The sequence below is a fragment of the Homo sapiens genome, chromosome 10, assembly GCF_000001405.40.
Source record: "Homo sapiens chromosome 10, GRCh38.p14 Primary Assembly".
Lineage (NCBI taxonomy): Eukaryota > Metazoa > Chordata > Mammalia > Primates > Hominidae > Homo > Homo sapiens.
This window is the reverse complement of record NC_000010.11, coordinates 19687642-19703915: the sequence shown is the minus strand read 5'-3', so window position 1 is coordinate 19703915 and position 16274 is coordinate 19687642. Positions and strand designations below refer to the sequence as shown.

The window sequence follows — 16274 nt, the reverse complement described above, 5'->3', positions numbered from 1 at the left end:
TTTATTTATTTATTTGTTTTTGAGTCAGAGACTTGCTCTGTCACCTAGACTGGAGTGCAGTGGCACAATCTCAGCTCACTGCAACCTCCGCTTCCTGGGTTCAAGTGGTTCTCCTGCCTCAGCCCTCTGAGTAGCTGGGATTACAGGGACCTGCCACCACCCCTGGCTAATTTTTGTATTTTTAGTAGAGATAGGGTTTTGCCATGTTGGCCAGGCTGGTTTTGAACTCCTGACCTCAAGTGATCCACCCGCCTTGGCCTCCCAAAATGCTGGGATTACCAATGTGAGCCACTGCACCAGACCTATTTGTACCCTTTAATCTTGATTTACAGATATAGATTTGATGATTACATCTCTCTTCTTTTACTATGAACTCTTGAAGGCTGCTGTATTTCCTGCTTCCTTGAAGGTGTCATGAATGAGAATCTGGAGTATTTTAAGCCATGAGGATAGATGTAGAAGACAGCTTTCAGAGATCTTTCATGATGACTTCTTTTTTGGCCCATCCCTGCCACGAGAGTGCCTTGGTATATTTCCCTGTAGCTATGGTGTGCTGTGGCCCTCGCCCCATATACAATCAACCTCTAGGTAACACTACTTTGTTACAGGGACAGGAAGCAGAGGAAATACACCTGCAGAGAGAGAATCAAAACAGACGAGCAAAAAGAAACAGAGATGAGAGGCAGATGAAGAATTCCTCTGGCTCAGGCCTTTCTGAGGCCCCACTCATTCATTCCCACCCTTGAGCTCTGTGAGACATCCTGTGTCTTTACCCTAAATTCTTTATTTTGATCAAATCATCTTGAGTTGCTTTTTTTCCCCTGTAATCAAAGTGTCCACACTAAGAGATTAGGTGGCAAGTAGCTAAAAGAAGAGTCACAGAATGTATAATAAAATCCAGGAAATCAAATCTCTAACAACAACTTTAAGAGGCTTGTTCCTGTGCTTAGCTTTCTCTGAGCACACCATGCTCCATTCCATGTTTTTAAAAAGCAATACAAAAGTTTACTTCAAGTTATTGAAGTCCTCTTACGCCACAGATTCTTTGTACAAAATTTAATGAAAAATCTTAAGGTTAAGGTTAATTTCGAGAGGGTGATGGTTTTCTGCTTACATGAAGTTCTGTGTATCTCAAGGTTTTGGCATTATTTTCAAGGTGAGCCACGTTATTTCATTTAGCCATCTCTTGCCCAAACATTTTAACTTACTTTAGGGCTTAAATGATTTCATGCAAAAAGACTGATTTTGAAGTTTAACTTGTAATATCATTATGTGGATGTAATCAATGGATATAAGCAATGGTTTTGGTGATGCTTTCAATTAGATAATCTTAAATAAATTCTAGATAATCTTCGGCAATCATATATTGGATACAAATTATGCATACAATCCCAGATACCAGAAATATAAAAATAAGGATTAATATGGAAATAGCTGTTACAACATGATGTCATCATTGCTATAACATTGTTGCTGAGGAAAGCATTACTGAGTGACTCACCCTGACAGGATGGCAGGAAATATTTGCCTGGTATCCAATATATGTGCGGTTGAATAGCTCTGCCAGGCAGAGGGCATGAATAGTCATATGCTTTTTGGGAATAGTGAGACTTTTCCCAAGAGTAGGGTGTGGAAGAATGGGAACAGTGAAAAATTAAACTTGCTGTAGTGGTTTTTGAACATTATCACTTGAATATTTCCTAAAATAATTTTGAAAAGCTATGCATCTCCTTTTGCATCTTTAAGTTCATATCTAAGACATTTACTATAAATTTACATTTCTAACATATTCTATGTTGTAGACGTGCTTTAAATATAATAGCACGAAATTCTGAATATTTAAGTTGAGCTCCTTAAAACTAGATGAATTGACTTTCATTTAATCTAAAGGACAAAGCCAGTCGGGCTGTCTGTCCAGTCAATGAAATAAGAATTTTCTTTTGAGAAGTTTAAGTTTATTGTCCAACTCAATTAGAAATGTTAAAATATGTCCTAGCACAATCATCTCTATTGACTGCGATTTCTAATTCTAAGGGGTGAGAAGAGAAAGGAAGAAGAGAGAGAAGGGAGGAGGGAGAAGGGAGAAGGTGAGGGATGGAGAAGAGAAAGAGAAAAGAAGAAGGAGGAAAAGGGGGAGGGAGAAGAAGAGAAGGGGAAGGGAGAGGAAGGGAGGGGAGGGGAAGGGGAAAGGGAGGGGGAGGGTAGGGGAGGGGAAGAGGAAGGGGAGGGGAGGAAAGGGAAGGGAAGGGAAGAGAAATACAGAAACTTGGTAAAGGTTTATCTCCTGCTCCTTTTTCCATATTGCTTGTCTCAAATCTCATCTTTTGCTACTTAAGTTTCTTTTTTGGGTGCTTCAGTACCTGACTGTCCCTCTGCTCCCTTCGTCCAGGGTGTATTCCTCCATCGCCCCAACCCAGTTTTGAGATAAAGAAAAGGACATATGAGAAAGAGGAAATGACAAAGAAGGCACAGCAGGCTGGTACACCTTCCTCAATCAGATACCTTTCAGAAGAGAATATATGACATTTGAGCATCTGCAAAATGATTCCCCAGAACTATCCGGGCCGCATCCACTTATGAGGTCACTGAGGCCTGAGAGTAAGGATCTGAGGATCTGAAGACCTGAGAGTAAGGATCTGAGGATCTGAAGACCTTGAGTAGGCTGAACCTTTGGGTCTGCCTAGCCATCTGCTAGGCTGGTCTGCTTCCTTTAAGGGACTCCTCTCTCTCTTTCTCTCTTTTTAATTTATTTTATGTTATTTTTAGAGAGACAGGGTCTTGCTTTGTCACCCAGGCTGGAGTACAGTGGCACAATCACAGCTCATTGCAGCCTTGACCTCCCAGGCTCAAGCAATCCACTCAACTCTGCCTCCGGAATAGCTGGGACTACAGGCACGTACCACCATGCCTGGCTAATTTTTGTATTTTTTTGTAGAGGTGGGGTTTTGCTATGTTGCCCAGGGTAGTCTTGAGCTAAAGATCCCTCACCTTGGCCTCCCAAAGTGTTGGGATTACAGGTATGAGCCACTGCACCCAGCCTGAGGGAATCCTTCTCTCTTGAGTGCAACTTGTAAGAACTTCATTATCTTGGTCCTAAGAGCAGGTGTGGATCAAATGACTCAAAAGATCACTAAGACTGACAAAAGTCTTGGGTGATAATTGTTTTTGGCAGTCATAGGGAAAAAAGCCTTTTGTTTGGAGATTACGGAAATCAGAAGAGAAGGTATGAAGGAAAGGGAAAATGACAACAGGAAAATAATCAGAGGGTTAGAGACAGATATTATCTTGGACCTAACCCACTTCTATTAGGTAGCAGAGACCAAGACTTGAGTCACTCATGGATCGAGTATCACAACAAGGTAGTTTAAAAATATGAAAGTGCTCCTATTTTTTGCAATTATTCATTTCTTTCATATTTTATCAACCTCCTTCCTTCCTGGTCCAGTTCGTCTATCTTGGGCAAATTTCATAAATTTATGGTCACTTTTAATGATTAAAACTTAGTCCAGTCCCCTTTAAAGTTGTCAAATAAAACCAAATTCCAACCTCTATTTGCCTCCTACCCTTTCCTCATGGCAGGTTGCAGATTTGTAGAAGGCTGCTGCCTCGAGCAAGGAAAAGGGGGAAGGTTATGTTCTGGCTCTGAAGCATGCCCCTCTCTTTTGTCAAGGCTTAGCTGTAAGGTGTAGTAGAGACAGAGAAGAGATGGAAACAGAGGGTGGAAACTTCTTCGGTAACTTGTTACTTGTCAACAGTAGGGAGGTGTCTTCTATTGCAGTGGGTTAATGTAGTTCTGACTTTTTGGCTTGACTTTTCTGTTGTTGTGGCCTTCATGGTGACAGTGTAATGATTTCGTGTGTGTGTGTGTGTGTGTGTGTGTGTGTGTGTGTGTGTCTAAATCAATTTCACTTGGGACCCTTCTATCATTGGATGTCTTTTGATATACTATGATATATTAATAGTTTGGTTATTTGTTGCCACCCAAATCTCATGTTGAATTGTAATCCCCAGTGTTGGAGGTGGGGCCTGGTGGGAGGTGTTTGTGTCATGGGAGCAGATCCCTCATGACTTGGTGCTGTTCTTACTGTAGTGAGTGAGGTCTCACCAGATCTGGTCGTTTAAAAGTGTGTGGCACTTCCCCCCTACTCTCTCTCTCCTGCTCCTGTTTTCACCATGTGACGTGCAAGCTCCTGCCTTGCCTTCTGCCATGAGTAAAAGCCTCCTGAAGCCTACCCAGAAGCAGATGCTGGTGCTATGCTTCCTATATAGCCTGCAGAACTATGAGCCAATTAAACATCTTTTTAAATAAATGACCCAGTTTCAGGTATGTCTTTGTAGCAATGCAACAATAGCCCAATACACCTTTTAAAGGAAAGGTAGCTGTGTCTACCTTCAGCTCAACCCTGCCCCTATTGCCCTCTCCAGGAAGGGCATCACCTCACCCGAATGAGCACTGCCTGAACAACCCTACAGTTCCAATTTATCTCTATTTTCCATGTTTCCTCAAATGGACTGAAAGTAAACTCCAGCTTTCACGTCTTCCGTGGATCTGCATAACTGAGACATAGTACAATTTCCTCCCTCCTACCTTTCCCTCCTTTCCCTCCTTTCCCTCCTTTCCCTCCTTTCCCTCCTTTCTCCACAGTACAATTTTCTCCCTTCCCAGGTACATATTACACCATGGTCTTTATTATTATTATTATTATTATTATACTTTAAGTTCTGGGATACATCTGCAGAACGTGCAGGTTTTTTACACAGGTATACATGTGCCATGGTGGTTTGCTGCACCCATCAACCCGTCATCTAGGTTTTAAGCCTTGCAGGCATTAGGTATTTGTCCTAATGCTCTCCCTCCCCTTGTCCCTCACCCCCCAACAGGCCCCGGTGTGTGATATCCCCTCCCTGTGTCCATGTGTTCTCATTGTTCAACTCTCACTTATGGTAAGAACATGCGGTGTTTGGTTTTCTGTTCCTGTGTTAGTTTGCTAAGAATAATGGTTCCCAGCTTCACCCATGTCCCTGCAAAGGGCATGAACTCATTCATTTTTTATGGCTACATAGTATTCCATACCACAGTCTTTTTAAGACTTGCTGGGACAGAATACTCCAGTGGCCATCTACTTTCAAAACATTAAGCCAAAAATTGTCTTTACACTCCTAGCAACGTTTTCTTTACTCTCTACTCTGATGCAGCTCCGGGGAGATTTTTGTAGATTTTGCACCTGTTTTCTAGGCATCATCAATCTAAACTATTGTTCTTTTGGAGTCTTTCCATCATTGGTTTTGGGTAGTGCTGGTGATGGTATCTTCCTCTCCTTCCCCATTTCTTCTCCCAGGAAAGAGGAAAAACTTCTCACCAAAGATACCGCACTATTCAAAAGACAATAACTTCAAAAACTCTCATCCTCCTTTCTTTCCAGTTGCCTCCTAGTATAGACTGGGAAGAGGAAAGAGATGGTTCAACAGAGATGGTTCTGCTTCCCTTTGTGAGCCTCAGGGATTTGTGCCTGACCCCAATTATTAGTAGTCTTTGGCAGTTCAAAGAACATGTGTTACTTGGACCTCTTATTTGAGGGGTGTAGCCACTTTTACTCAATTCCTTGTGATACTTGTGTATGAGGGATTGATACTATTAGAGTTCTGATGTGTTTGGTAAGACAATAAAAACAGCTATATCTGAGCTTTACACCTCAAATGATCATGGTACCCTTTATTCCTCAGGCTTCAAAGGTAGATTCCAGGATATAGAAATTATAAGCACTAATATCTCATATGTTAAGGTCAAAGTAGTTAGAGAAATATTCAGCTGGAAAGTCTAACAAATGGTTGAAAGCACGGTATGGATCTGGAGCTTGGAAAAATATTTCAGTAACAGAGAGATCTGACTTGAAGGCATTTACATCTAGATGTCACTTAAAACCTTGGAAATGAATGACATCTATGGAGAATGTGTAGAGGAGGAAGAAAAGTGGATGGAGAGGCAAACCCTGGGGAATCTAAATAAGTTACTGGAAGAAAATACTTTTAAAAACAGGGAGACAGAAGAAAAATTGAGGTTAAGAGAAGATGGACAAAGAAATAGGGAAAGGGTAAATAGGAGTAGAGCCTGGCAAAGAAAGAAGGTAAGAAGCAAAGAGAAAGGAACATGTAAAATTAAAGAAAATGAGAGAAATAGAAGAGAGCAAGAGAGGTGGCTCTGCTGGGCTGTGGCATAATGCCACCAATATTTGCCCGAGGGTCCTCTCAATAACTTCCATATGATAGGCTGTTCAACATGAATCTGGAGAAACTGTGAAATTTAGAATTATTTTGGAACGCTCTTGCTGGGGGTGTGAAAATGACAGCTTGCTTCTATATTATGAAAGTAAACTTTTTGTGTTAACTTGGCTAGGCTATGATGCCCGATTGTTTGGTCAGACACTAGTCTAGAGGTTGCTGTGGAGGTAGTTTTCAGACATGATTAACCTTTATAATCAGTTGACTTTAATTAAGGCACATGGCCCTCCATAATGGGGGCGGGGGCGGGGGCTCAAGCGCAGACTGGGATTTCCTTATGAAGAAAGGGTTCTGCCTCAAGACTGAGATGCAAAACTCTGTCAGAGTTTCCTGCCTGGTGGTTTGCCCTGTAGATTTTAGACTCAAGACTGGACCATCAACTCTTACTTGGATTTCTAGTCTGCTGGTCTGCCTTACAGGTTTCAAGCTTGCCAGTCCCCACAATTGCATGAGACAACTCCTTAAATCTCTCTCTCTCTTTCTCTTTCTCTCTCTGTCTCTATCTCTGTATCCTATTTTTATGTGTGTTTTTCTGGAGAAGCCAGACAAATACACTAGTATTTCACCTAGTGGTTTATGTATCTGCTTCTTTCCCTAGATTACAAACTTCTTAAAGTCTAGACTGCTTCTCATTCATGTTTGTGTTCATGTTGTCTAGCATATTGTAGGCTCATAAAAAATAATTAAAGAATTACTAATGAATAAGATAGTCTTTTTTTGTTTTCTGGAGTCTCACTTTGTCACCCAGGTTGGAGTGTGGTGGCGTGACCTCAGCTCACTGCAACCTCTGCCTCCCAGGTTCAAATGATTCTCCTGTCTCACTCTCCCAAGCAGCTGGGATTACAGGCATATGCCAACACACCAGGCTAATTTTTTTTTTTTTTTAATTTTGGGCAGAGATGGGGTTTCCTCATGTTGGCCAGGCTGGTCTTGAACTCCTGACCTCAAGTGATCTGCCCATCTTGGCCTCCCAAAGTGCTGGGATTACAGTTATGAGCCACTGTGCCTGGACCAAGATAGTCTTAATGGATTAAAAATATCATTTTTTTTCTAATGAACACCATAATTCTATAATAACCTTGCTATAATTGCTGTTATCAAGATAGCTGTCTGCTTATTCACATGACTGCAGGCTGAAGATCTGAAGAGAATTCATCAGGCGGTTGTATAATTTGACATCAAGGAAAACAGTGAATTATCCTTTGCTCTGTGACATATTTGGTGTTGCAGCAGATCTGAATTTCTGACCACAAACTCAGGTGTTCAAGATATGATGTATATCTTTAATTTCTAAAAATGTTATTAAATCTTTTAGTGAGCCCTTATCTTGCTGAGTTCATAAAAGCCAGTCACATTTGTTACTTGGTTTACTTGGAACCCATACTAGGAATGAGAAAATGGGTAATGGGTTGAAAAGATCCAGGACCCTTAGTGGCACTGTTGATTGGCAGGGTCTCTGAGTCTTGCATGAGCCCAGCCTGCAGAGTTCCTTCATGCAGATGCAGCAGCTCTTGGCCCCTGTTTTGCACATGCTCAGTACATGGGATGCTTGGGCTAAAACATTAGTGCCACGAGTCCTGCCTCCCTATGTGATATGGTTCAGCTGTGTCTCCACCCAAATCTCACCTTAAATTGTAATAATTCTCATGTGTCATTGGAGTGACTTGGCGGAAGGTAATTGAATCATGGGAGTGAGTTTTTCCCATGCTGTTCTTATGATAGTGATTACGTCTCACAAGATCCAATGGTTTTATAAAGGGGAGTTCCCCTACACAAGCTCTCTTGCCTGCTGCCATGAAAGACATGCCTTTGGCGCCGGGCACGGTGACTCATGCCTGTAATCCCAGCACTTTGGGAGGCTGAGGCAGGTGGATTACGAGGTCAGGAGTTTGAGACCAACCTGGTCAAGATGGTGAAACCCTGTGTCTACTAAAAATAAAAAATAAAAAATTAGCCGGGCATGGTGGCAGGTACCTGTAATCCCAGCTACTCAGGAGGCTGAGGCAGAAGAATCATTTGAACTCAGGTGGTGGAGGTGGCAGTGAGCTGAGATTGTGCCACTGCACTCCAGCCTGGGCAACAGAGTGAGACTCCATCTCAAAAAAAAAAAAAAAAAAGAAAGAAAAACATGCCTTTGCTTCTCTTTTGCCTTCTACCATGATTGTGAGGCCTCCCCAGCCATATGAAACTGTGAGTCCATTAAACTTCTTTCCTTTATAAATTATGCAGTCTTGGTATGTCTTTATTAGCAGTGTGAGAAAAGGCTAATACACTGCGTAAGCAAAGAAATAATTTCCTTTGCCGTTCTGCTATCTTCCCCAGGCACCACCAGTAATGGCAAATCTAGCCCCTCATCTCTTTTTAGTCGGTGGATAATGTCATATATAAATATTTCATATATATTTATATAGTTTTTATTATACTTTAAGTTCTAGGGTACATGTGCATGACGTGCAGTTTTTTACATATGTATACATGCACCATGTTGGTGTGCTGCACCCATTAACTCATCATTTACATTGGGTATATCTCCTAATGCTATGCCTCCCCACTAGCCCCACCCCATGACAGGCCCCGGTGTGTGATGTCACCCTTCCTCTGTCCAAGTGTTCTCATTGTTCAGTTCCCACCTGTGAGTGAGAACATGTGGTGTTTGGTTTTTTGTCCTTGTGGTAGTTTGCTGAGAATGATGGTTCCCAGCTTCATCCATGTCCCTGCAAAGGACATGAACTCATCATTTTTTATGGCTGCATAGTATTCCATGGTGTATGTGTGCCACATTTTCTTAATCCAGTCTATCATTGTTGGACATTTGGCTTGGTTCCAAGTCTTTGCTATTGTGAATAGTGCCGCAATAAACGTACATGTGCATGTGTCTTTATAGCAGCATGATTTATATCCCTTTGGGTATATACCCAGTAATGGATGGCTGGGTCAAATGGTATTTCTAGTTCTAGATCCTTCAGGAATTGCCACACTGTCTTCCACAATGGTTGAACTAGTTTACAGTCCCACCAACAGTGTAAAACTGTTCCTATTTCTCCAGATCCTCTCTAGCACCTGCTGTTTCCTGACTTTTTAATGATCGCCATTCTAACTGGTGTGAGATGATATCTCATTCTGGTTTTGATTTACATTTCTCTGATGGCCAGTGATGATGAGCATTTTTTCATGTGTCTGTTGGCTGCATAAATGTCTTCTTTTGAGAAGTGTCTGTTCATATCCTTCGCCCACTTGTTGATGGGGTTGTTTTTTTCTTGTGAATTTGTTTGAGTTCTTTGTAGATTCTGGATATTAGCCCTTTGTCAGATGAGTAGATTGCAAAAATTTTCTCCCATTCTGTAGGTTGCCTGTTCACTCTGATGGCGGTTTCTTTTGCTGTGCAGAAGCTCTTTAGTTTAATTAGATCCCATTTGTCAATTTTGGCTTTTGTTGCCATTGCTTTTGGTGTTTTGGACATGAAGTCCTTGCCCATGCCTATGTCCTGAATGGTATTGCCTAGGTTTTCTTCTAGGGTTTTTATGGTTTTAGGTCTAACATTTACGTCTTTAATCCATCTTGAATTAATTTTTGTATAAGGTGTAAGGAAGGGATCCAGTTTCAGCTTTCTACATATGGCTAGCCAGTTTTCCCAGCACCATTTATTAAATAGGGAATCCTTTCCCCATTGCTTGTTTTTGTCAGGTTTGTCAAAGATCAGATGGTTGTAGATGTGTGGTATTATTTCTGAGGGCTCTGTTCTGTTCCATTCGTCTATATCTCTGTTTTGGTACCAGTACCATGCTGTTTTGGTCACTATAGCCTTGTAATATAGTTTGAAGTCAGGTAGCGTGATGCCTCCAGCTTTGTTCTTTTGCCTTAGGATTGACTTGGCAATGCGGGCTCTTTTTTGGTTCCATATGAACTTTAAAGTAGTTTTTTCCAATTCTGTGAAGAAAGTCATTGGTTGCTTGATGGGGATGGCATTGAATCTATAAATTACCTTGGGCAGCATGGCCATTTTCACAATATTGATTTTTCCTATCCACGAGCATGGAAGGTTCTTCCATTTGTTTGTGTCCTCTTTTATTTCCTTGAGCAGTGGTTTGTAGTTCTCTTTGAAGAGGTCCTTCACATCCCTTGTAAGTTGGATTCCTAGGCATTTTATTCTCTTTGAAGTAATTGTGAATGGGAGTTCACTCATGATTTGGCTCTCTGTTTTTCTGTTATTGGTGTATAAGAATGCTTGTGATTTTTGCACATTGATTTTGTATCCTGAGACTTTGCTGAAGTTGCCTATCAGCTTAAGGAGATTTTGGGCTGAGACGATGGGGTTTTCTAGATATACAATCATGTCGTCTGCAAACAGGGACAATTTGACTTCCTCTTTTCCTAATTGAATACCCTTTCTTTCTTTCTCCTGCCTGATTGCCCTGGCCAGAACTTCCAACACTATGTTGAATAGGAGTGGTGAGAGAGGGCATCCCTGTCCTGTGCCAGTTTTCAAAGGGAATGCTTCCAGCTTTTGCCCATTCAGTATGATATTGGCTGTGGGTTTGTCATAAATAGCTCTTATAATTTTGAGATATGTCCCATCCATACCTAATTTATTGAGAGTTTTTAGCATGAAGGGCTGTTGAATTTTGTCGAAGGCCTTTTCTGTATCTATTGAGATAATCATGTGGTTTTTGTCTTTGGTTCTGTTTATATGCTGGATTACATTTATTGATTTGTGTATGTTGAACCAGCCTTGCATTCCAGGGATGAAATTATATATATATATATATATAATTTCATCTATATATAAATTTCATATATATATAATTTCATATATATATAAATTTCATATATATATATATACGCCCTCAAAAAGGCTCCTAATATAATCTGAAAAGTAAACTTCAGGCTTTATACTAAAAAAAGAAGAGAAATTCTTGTTAGGTAGCTCCTCTTTTCTGCCCAGAAAAATAAATCCATAAAGCAGCAAAACACTAAAGTTTCCTGCATGTAATATGGAGTGAAAGAAAAAAATAGCAAAGGAAATGTTGAAGAAAATTTTTCTGCTACGGTATATTTCATTTAGCAACTAAAGGCATCACTTACCTTATTGGTACCTTTCTGTTTGCAAGAAAACACAAGACTGCAACTGTGATGTGAGTCATCAGGAATGCTAATCCAATACCCAGGAGAGTCCATGTATCTGGAATTTTAAACCAAAGAAAAAGATAAATATGCAGTGAAATATATTAGAGACCACCCCAAACCAAGCCATTTATTTAGTCATAATGTCACCTACTATTCTGAGCGTATGTGAAGTCTGTAGCAGGAGGATTAAACTTGATATGGCATCGATTTCCTTTCCAGCCTTGTCTACATCTGGAAAGGAGATAAAATAAAATAGTTGGAAAAAAGAAAAGTGAAAAGATATTTGAACACAACTGGCATGGGATAAAATCATGAATGTCAATAAATAACGAGATACTAGGAACATGGATAACTTTGATAAAAAACCAAAAACTTTAAGCCAAAGCAAAACCAAAATTAAATTGTATTATTTTCATATCATTGTGTAAGATAATTTTCTTCAATATTCATCTTCTTGACTTTATAAGGTAGAAACATGGTTTCCACATCGTTCTTTGTTTTTAAAAATTGACTCATTTTTCACCAGTGTCCAATATTACTTTACTTTATCCATCATTTGCCTCAAATCCAAAAGGCAGCACATTTTTCTATAGTGAAGAGATTCAAGTCATTTCAGAAAACCAACAGAGCAGATTCAAATTTTACATTACCATAAATACAAACCAAAGAACACATTTATTTCTCATTACAAAGGGATAATCCTTCAAGTGTTTAGATTTGGAAACAGGTTAATAATCTCATTTGATGTACTAGTAAATTCTCAGACACTTACAAGGGTTCCATCACCTTTGTTTTATTTAGGGATGTACATGATGAAACTTTTAACACTGGTACGGATGGTCTTGAGAAAGTTACGAATGAAAGAGTACCTTCTGCCTCTAAGGGATAAGGTTTATTGCTAAGCAGTAAATGTATTGAAATTTTTCTGGTAGTATCTGAAAGTTCATGTATACACACTTGTTTAACATCAGTAACAGGATACAAATTACGAAGGGTTTGGTCAAATTTCCTGCCACCTTCACAGTACATGCTACAAAATAGGATGAAAACGTAGCTTTTGAATATGAGTGTATAAAAACTGAGTGTTAGAAGCAATGCTTCTTCAGTACAATGTATTGAATTTTCACTTAATCACTTTTAAATTTGAAAATTTGTATGCTCAAAAGTAATTCCTTCACAAAAGCAATCAGCTTCTTTAAATATAAAAAGCGTGGAGGTTCATGGAGGCCTATCAGAATGCCTTTCTTTCTTTAGCAAATATTATTTTAAAAGTAGAAATGAAGATAATTTCATTGTTTTAACGTTTCTGCAATTCAAGTTAAAATAAATTAGAATTGTGAGAGATTGGGGTATTTGTTTTTTTCCCTCACAATCCTTAAGATGCATTCCTTGTCAGTCCTCATTTGACCTTGTGAATCCTACTTGTCAATCTTTCACACGTGCACACACTGGTATGATCTAGAGATGGGGACACATTTTCACTCTGAGTTAATTCAATTCCTTTAAATGTTGATAGTGCCACTTTCCTGGCATCAGGGCTACAGTAATCATCTTAGACAAATAGTACACTTTTGAATGTGCCTATTGATAAATTTTAGTGGAAAACTGTCTTGGATTACCAGTTAAAAAAATAATGGAGAAACCTAAGACATATGGAGAAAGAATATGAATGCTGTCTGTCTGTCTATCTATCTACCTACCTATCATTCTTTCATTCTATCTTCTATCCATCTATCTATTATCTACACTGCCTATTTATCTAAATGTATATATATTTATATTTATATATAGAACCTGGTGATGAACAAATAGAGTACTGGTGGCCTTTTGACAGTTGTATGGAGAGTTAAACTAGACTGAAATAATTCTTATGTTAATTTTACAGAAAATACACATAGAATGAGGGATAAAACAAAAAATAAAGATAGAAAATTTTCTCTTATTGACAGAAGTTTGCCTATAAAAATAAAAATAACAGAAAGATTTGGTGAGAAATAAACCTCGTCACCCATTTAGAGGCCCAGGATATTCTCCAATTCTGAACTTTGTAAAGTCCTGCCCATTCTAGTGTTAGAAGTTTTATTATGTATGTTTCTAAATAAAACAAAGGAATTGGAATCTTCATAGGGATCTTCCTTCCGATAGCTATGGAAATATATACTACTAATTGATTGATTGATTTTCCACAGAGCAGTTATGCTATAGAACAAATTAAAGTAATATCATCCTATCGGTTAACATGAGAAAATAATAGGAAATAAACTACTGTAAGGGTCAAAAGCAGTTTCAAAATATGTTGAATTTTAGTTATTTTTGGCCAAGGAAAACTTCAATTTAATAAGTATGATTTATCCGTATCTTTATTTGTTGTGTATTTGCATAACAAACTGTTACAAAAAAAGATTTTAGAGAAAAATGAATACACTACCCCCCAAAAATTTCCACTTCAGTTTTTCTTGTGTATCAGCCTGCCATCTTGAAACAAAATGATTTCTATACATGTTTTCGAGATAATTTACCTTCTATAAATTTTAATAGATTTCAGTAAATTTTCAAATGGGAGTAGAGATTACTGAGATTTTAAACTTATATGGTGAAATCTATGATTCCAAAAATTTTAGTCAGTAAGTCTGATTATAAATGGATATGGTGCTGCTTGAAGAAAAAACTGCAATCTCCACACTAAAATTCTCAAATTATCCCCTCCTGCATAACAATTTTCCTTGTAAAATCACAAAACTGTCATGGGATAAAATGATGAATGTCAATAAATAATGACATACCAGGAACATGGATAACTTTGAGAAGAAACCAAAAACGTTAAGCCAAAGCAAAACCAAAATAAAATTGTATTATTTTCATATCGTTGTATAAGATAATTTTTTCAATATTCATCTTGTTGACTTTGTAAGGTAGAAACATGGTTTTCACATCTTTCTTTGCTTTTAAAAATTGACTCATTTTTCACCAGTATCCAATATTACTTTACTTTATCCATCATTTGCCTCAAATCCAAAAGGGAGTGCATTTTTCTATAGTGAAGAAAAATGTTCTATAGTGAAGAAAATTTTCCTTGTAAAATGGTCACGTGATGTTTATTACATTAATAACAATATATGCTTGAAGTGTCAAGGAAATTACCCACAAATGTATGTTAAAACACAAACCTTCATGCCTATATGCAATTCTATCCTCCCGAGGTAACTAAGGTATGTCTCCTCCTACTACTTTTACCTTCTCATAGAACACACACACGTACAGATACACACACACACACACAGAGGTATCTATATATCAGTTTTGTATGTGTGTTTCCTGCAATAGAAGCATATTCTTCCCTCTGCACCTAGATTTTTCTCTCAGCGATGTATCATGAACTTTCTTAAGGTCAGATGTCTGTACAAATAACTGTCACAGACATTTATTTTTAGAAATTATCTCCTTGTATGTGTACACATAAATATATATTTTTAGTGCAAACTTTTTGTTGCTGTTGCTTTTCTTTCCTCTTCTTCTTTCCTCTTCACCCCAGTGTATAAAGGTGGAGGGGGAGGAGAAGGGAGAGACATTTGCTTGGTTGCAGAAAGAAGCAAGTGAGAATATTTAACATGCATTTTCATCTTTGTCAAACTAAACCTTCTCCATGGAATATCCAGTGTTCAAAGTAATTGTGGCAGTCTGATCCCTGGATTTCTTTAAAATCTCCCTGAAAGGGGTGAGTTTCCAACCCTTCTAATGGCACGCTGAGAACAGCGTTAATCACATGCTAGAACGGTGTGTTGAAGTTCCACCCATTCTTTGAGCAACAGCAGTGAAAGAAATTTCTCTCCTGCCATCCCCCTGAGTACTGTGGGCTGGAAGCGAAAACAGAAAATCCTGTCTGCACTAACTAGAGCTTGGTGGACTCCCTTATCTTCCAAGCTGACCATAACTACCTATTAAGAATCATTAGGGCTGGGCATGCTGGCTCATGCCTGTAATTCCAGCACTTTGGGAGACCGAGGTGGGAGGATTACTTGAGGCCAGGAGTTTGAGATCAGTCTGGGCAACAGGGAGAGACCTTCTTTACAAAAATTCTAAAAATTAGCCATGCAAGGTGGTGTGCCCCTGTAGTCCTAATTACCAAGGAGACTAAGGTGAGAGAACTGCTTAAGCCCAAGAGTTGGAGGCTGCCGGGAGCTATGCACTGCATTCCAACATGGGTGACAGAGCAAGACCCTGTCTCAGATAATAATAATAATAGGCCGGGCACAGTGGCTCATGCCTGTAATCCCAGCACTTTGGGAGGCCAAGGCGGGCACATCGTCTGAGATCAGAAGTTCCAAGACCAGCCTGGCCAACATGGCAAAACCCCTTCTCTACTAAAAATACAAAAATTAGCTGGGTGTGGTGGCGGGTGCCTGTAATCCCAGCGACGTGGGAGGCTGAGGCAGGAGAACTGCTTGAACCTGGGAGGCGGAGTTTGCAGTGACTCGAGATCACTCCACTGCGCTCCAGCCTGGGCAACACAGTGAGACTCCTTCTCCAAAAATAACATAACATAACATAACATAACATAACATAACATAACATAACATAACATAACATAACATAACATAACATTAAAAAAATAAATAATAATAATTAAGGTGTTTTACAAAGAAAATGTTACAGTGATTTTCTCCATTATTTTTCACATGGAATCTGGGTAGGGAAGCTTAGCTATCTTCCTCATCTATTTATTAGATTGGTGCAAAAGTTATTTCAGTCATTGTCTCTAAAAGGAATGGCCAAAAGCGAAATTAGTTTTGTACCAACTTTCTCAATAGTAAATCAGTAAGATTTGTATAACAAATGAAAAACGAGAAAATGTCTAATCCTGAAGGGATAAA

At 39.1% G+C, this 16274-nt stretch overlaps 1 protein-coding gene across 8 annotated transcripts in view; it reads right to left on the bottom strand.

Moving 5' to 3' along the window:
• MALRD1 (MAM and LDL receptor class A domain containing 1) overlaps window positions 1–16274 on the bottom strand; it is a 687552-nt gene that overhangs the window by 30563 nt on the left and 640715 nt on the right. For all 8 annotated transcript variants that reach the window (XM_011519453.3, XM_011519455.3, XM_011519454.2 and 5 more), the window contains 2 exons: window positions 11555–11634; window positions 11362–11458 (listed from right to left, as the gene is read on the bottom strand). In XM_011519453.3, the coding sequence (XP_011517755.1) occupies window positions 11362–11458; window positions 11555–11634 (177 nt within the window). The remainder of the gene's footprint in view (window positions 1–11361; window positions 11459–11554; window positions 11635–16274) is intronic.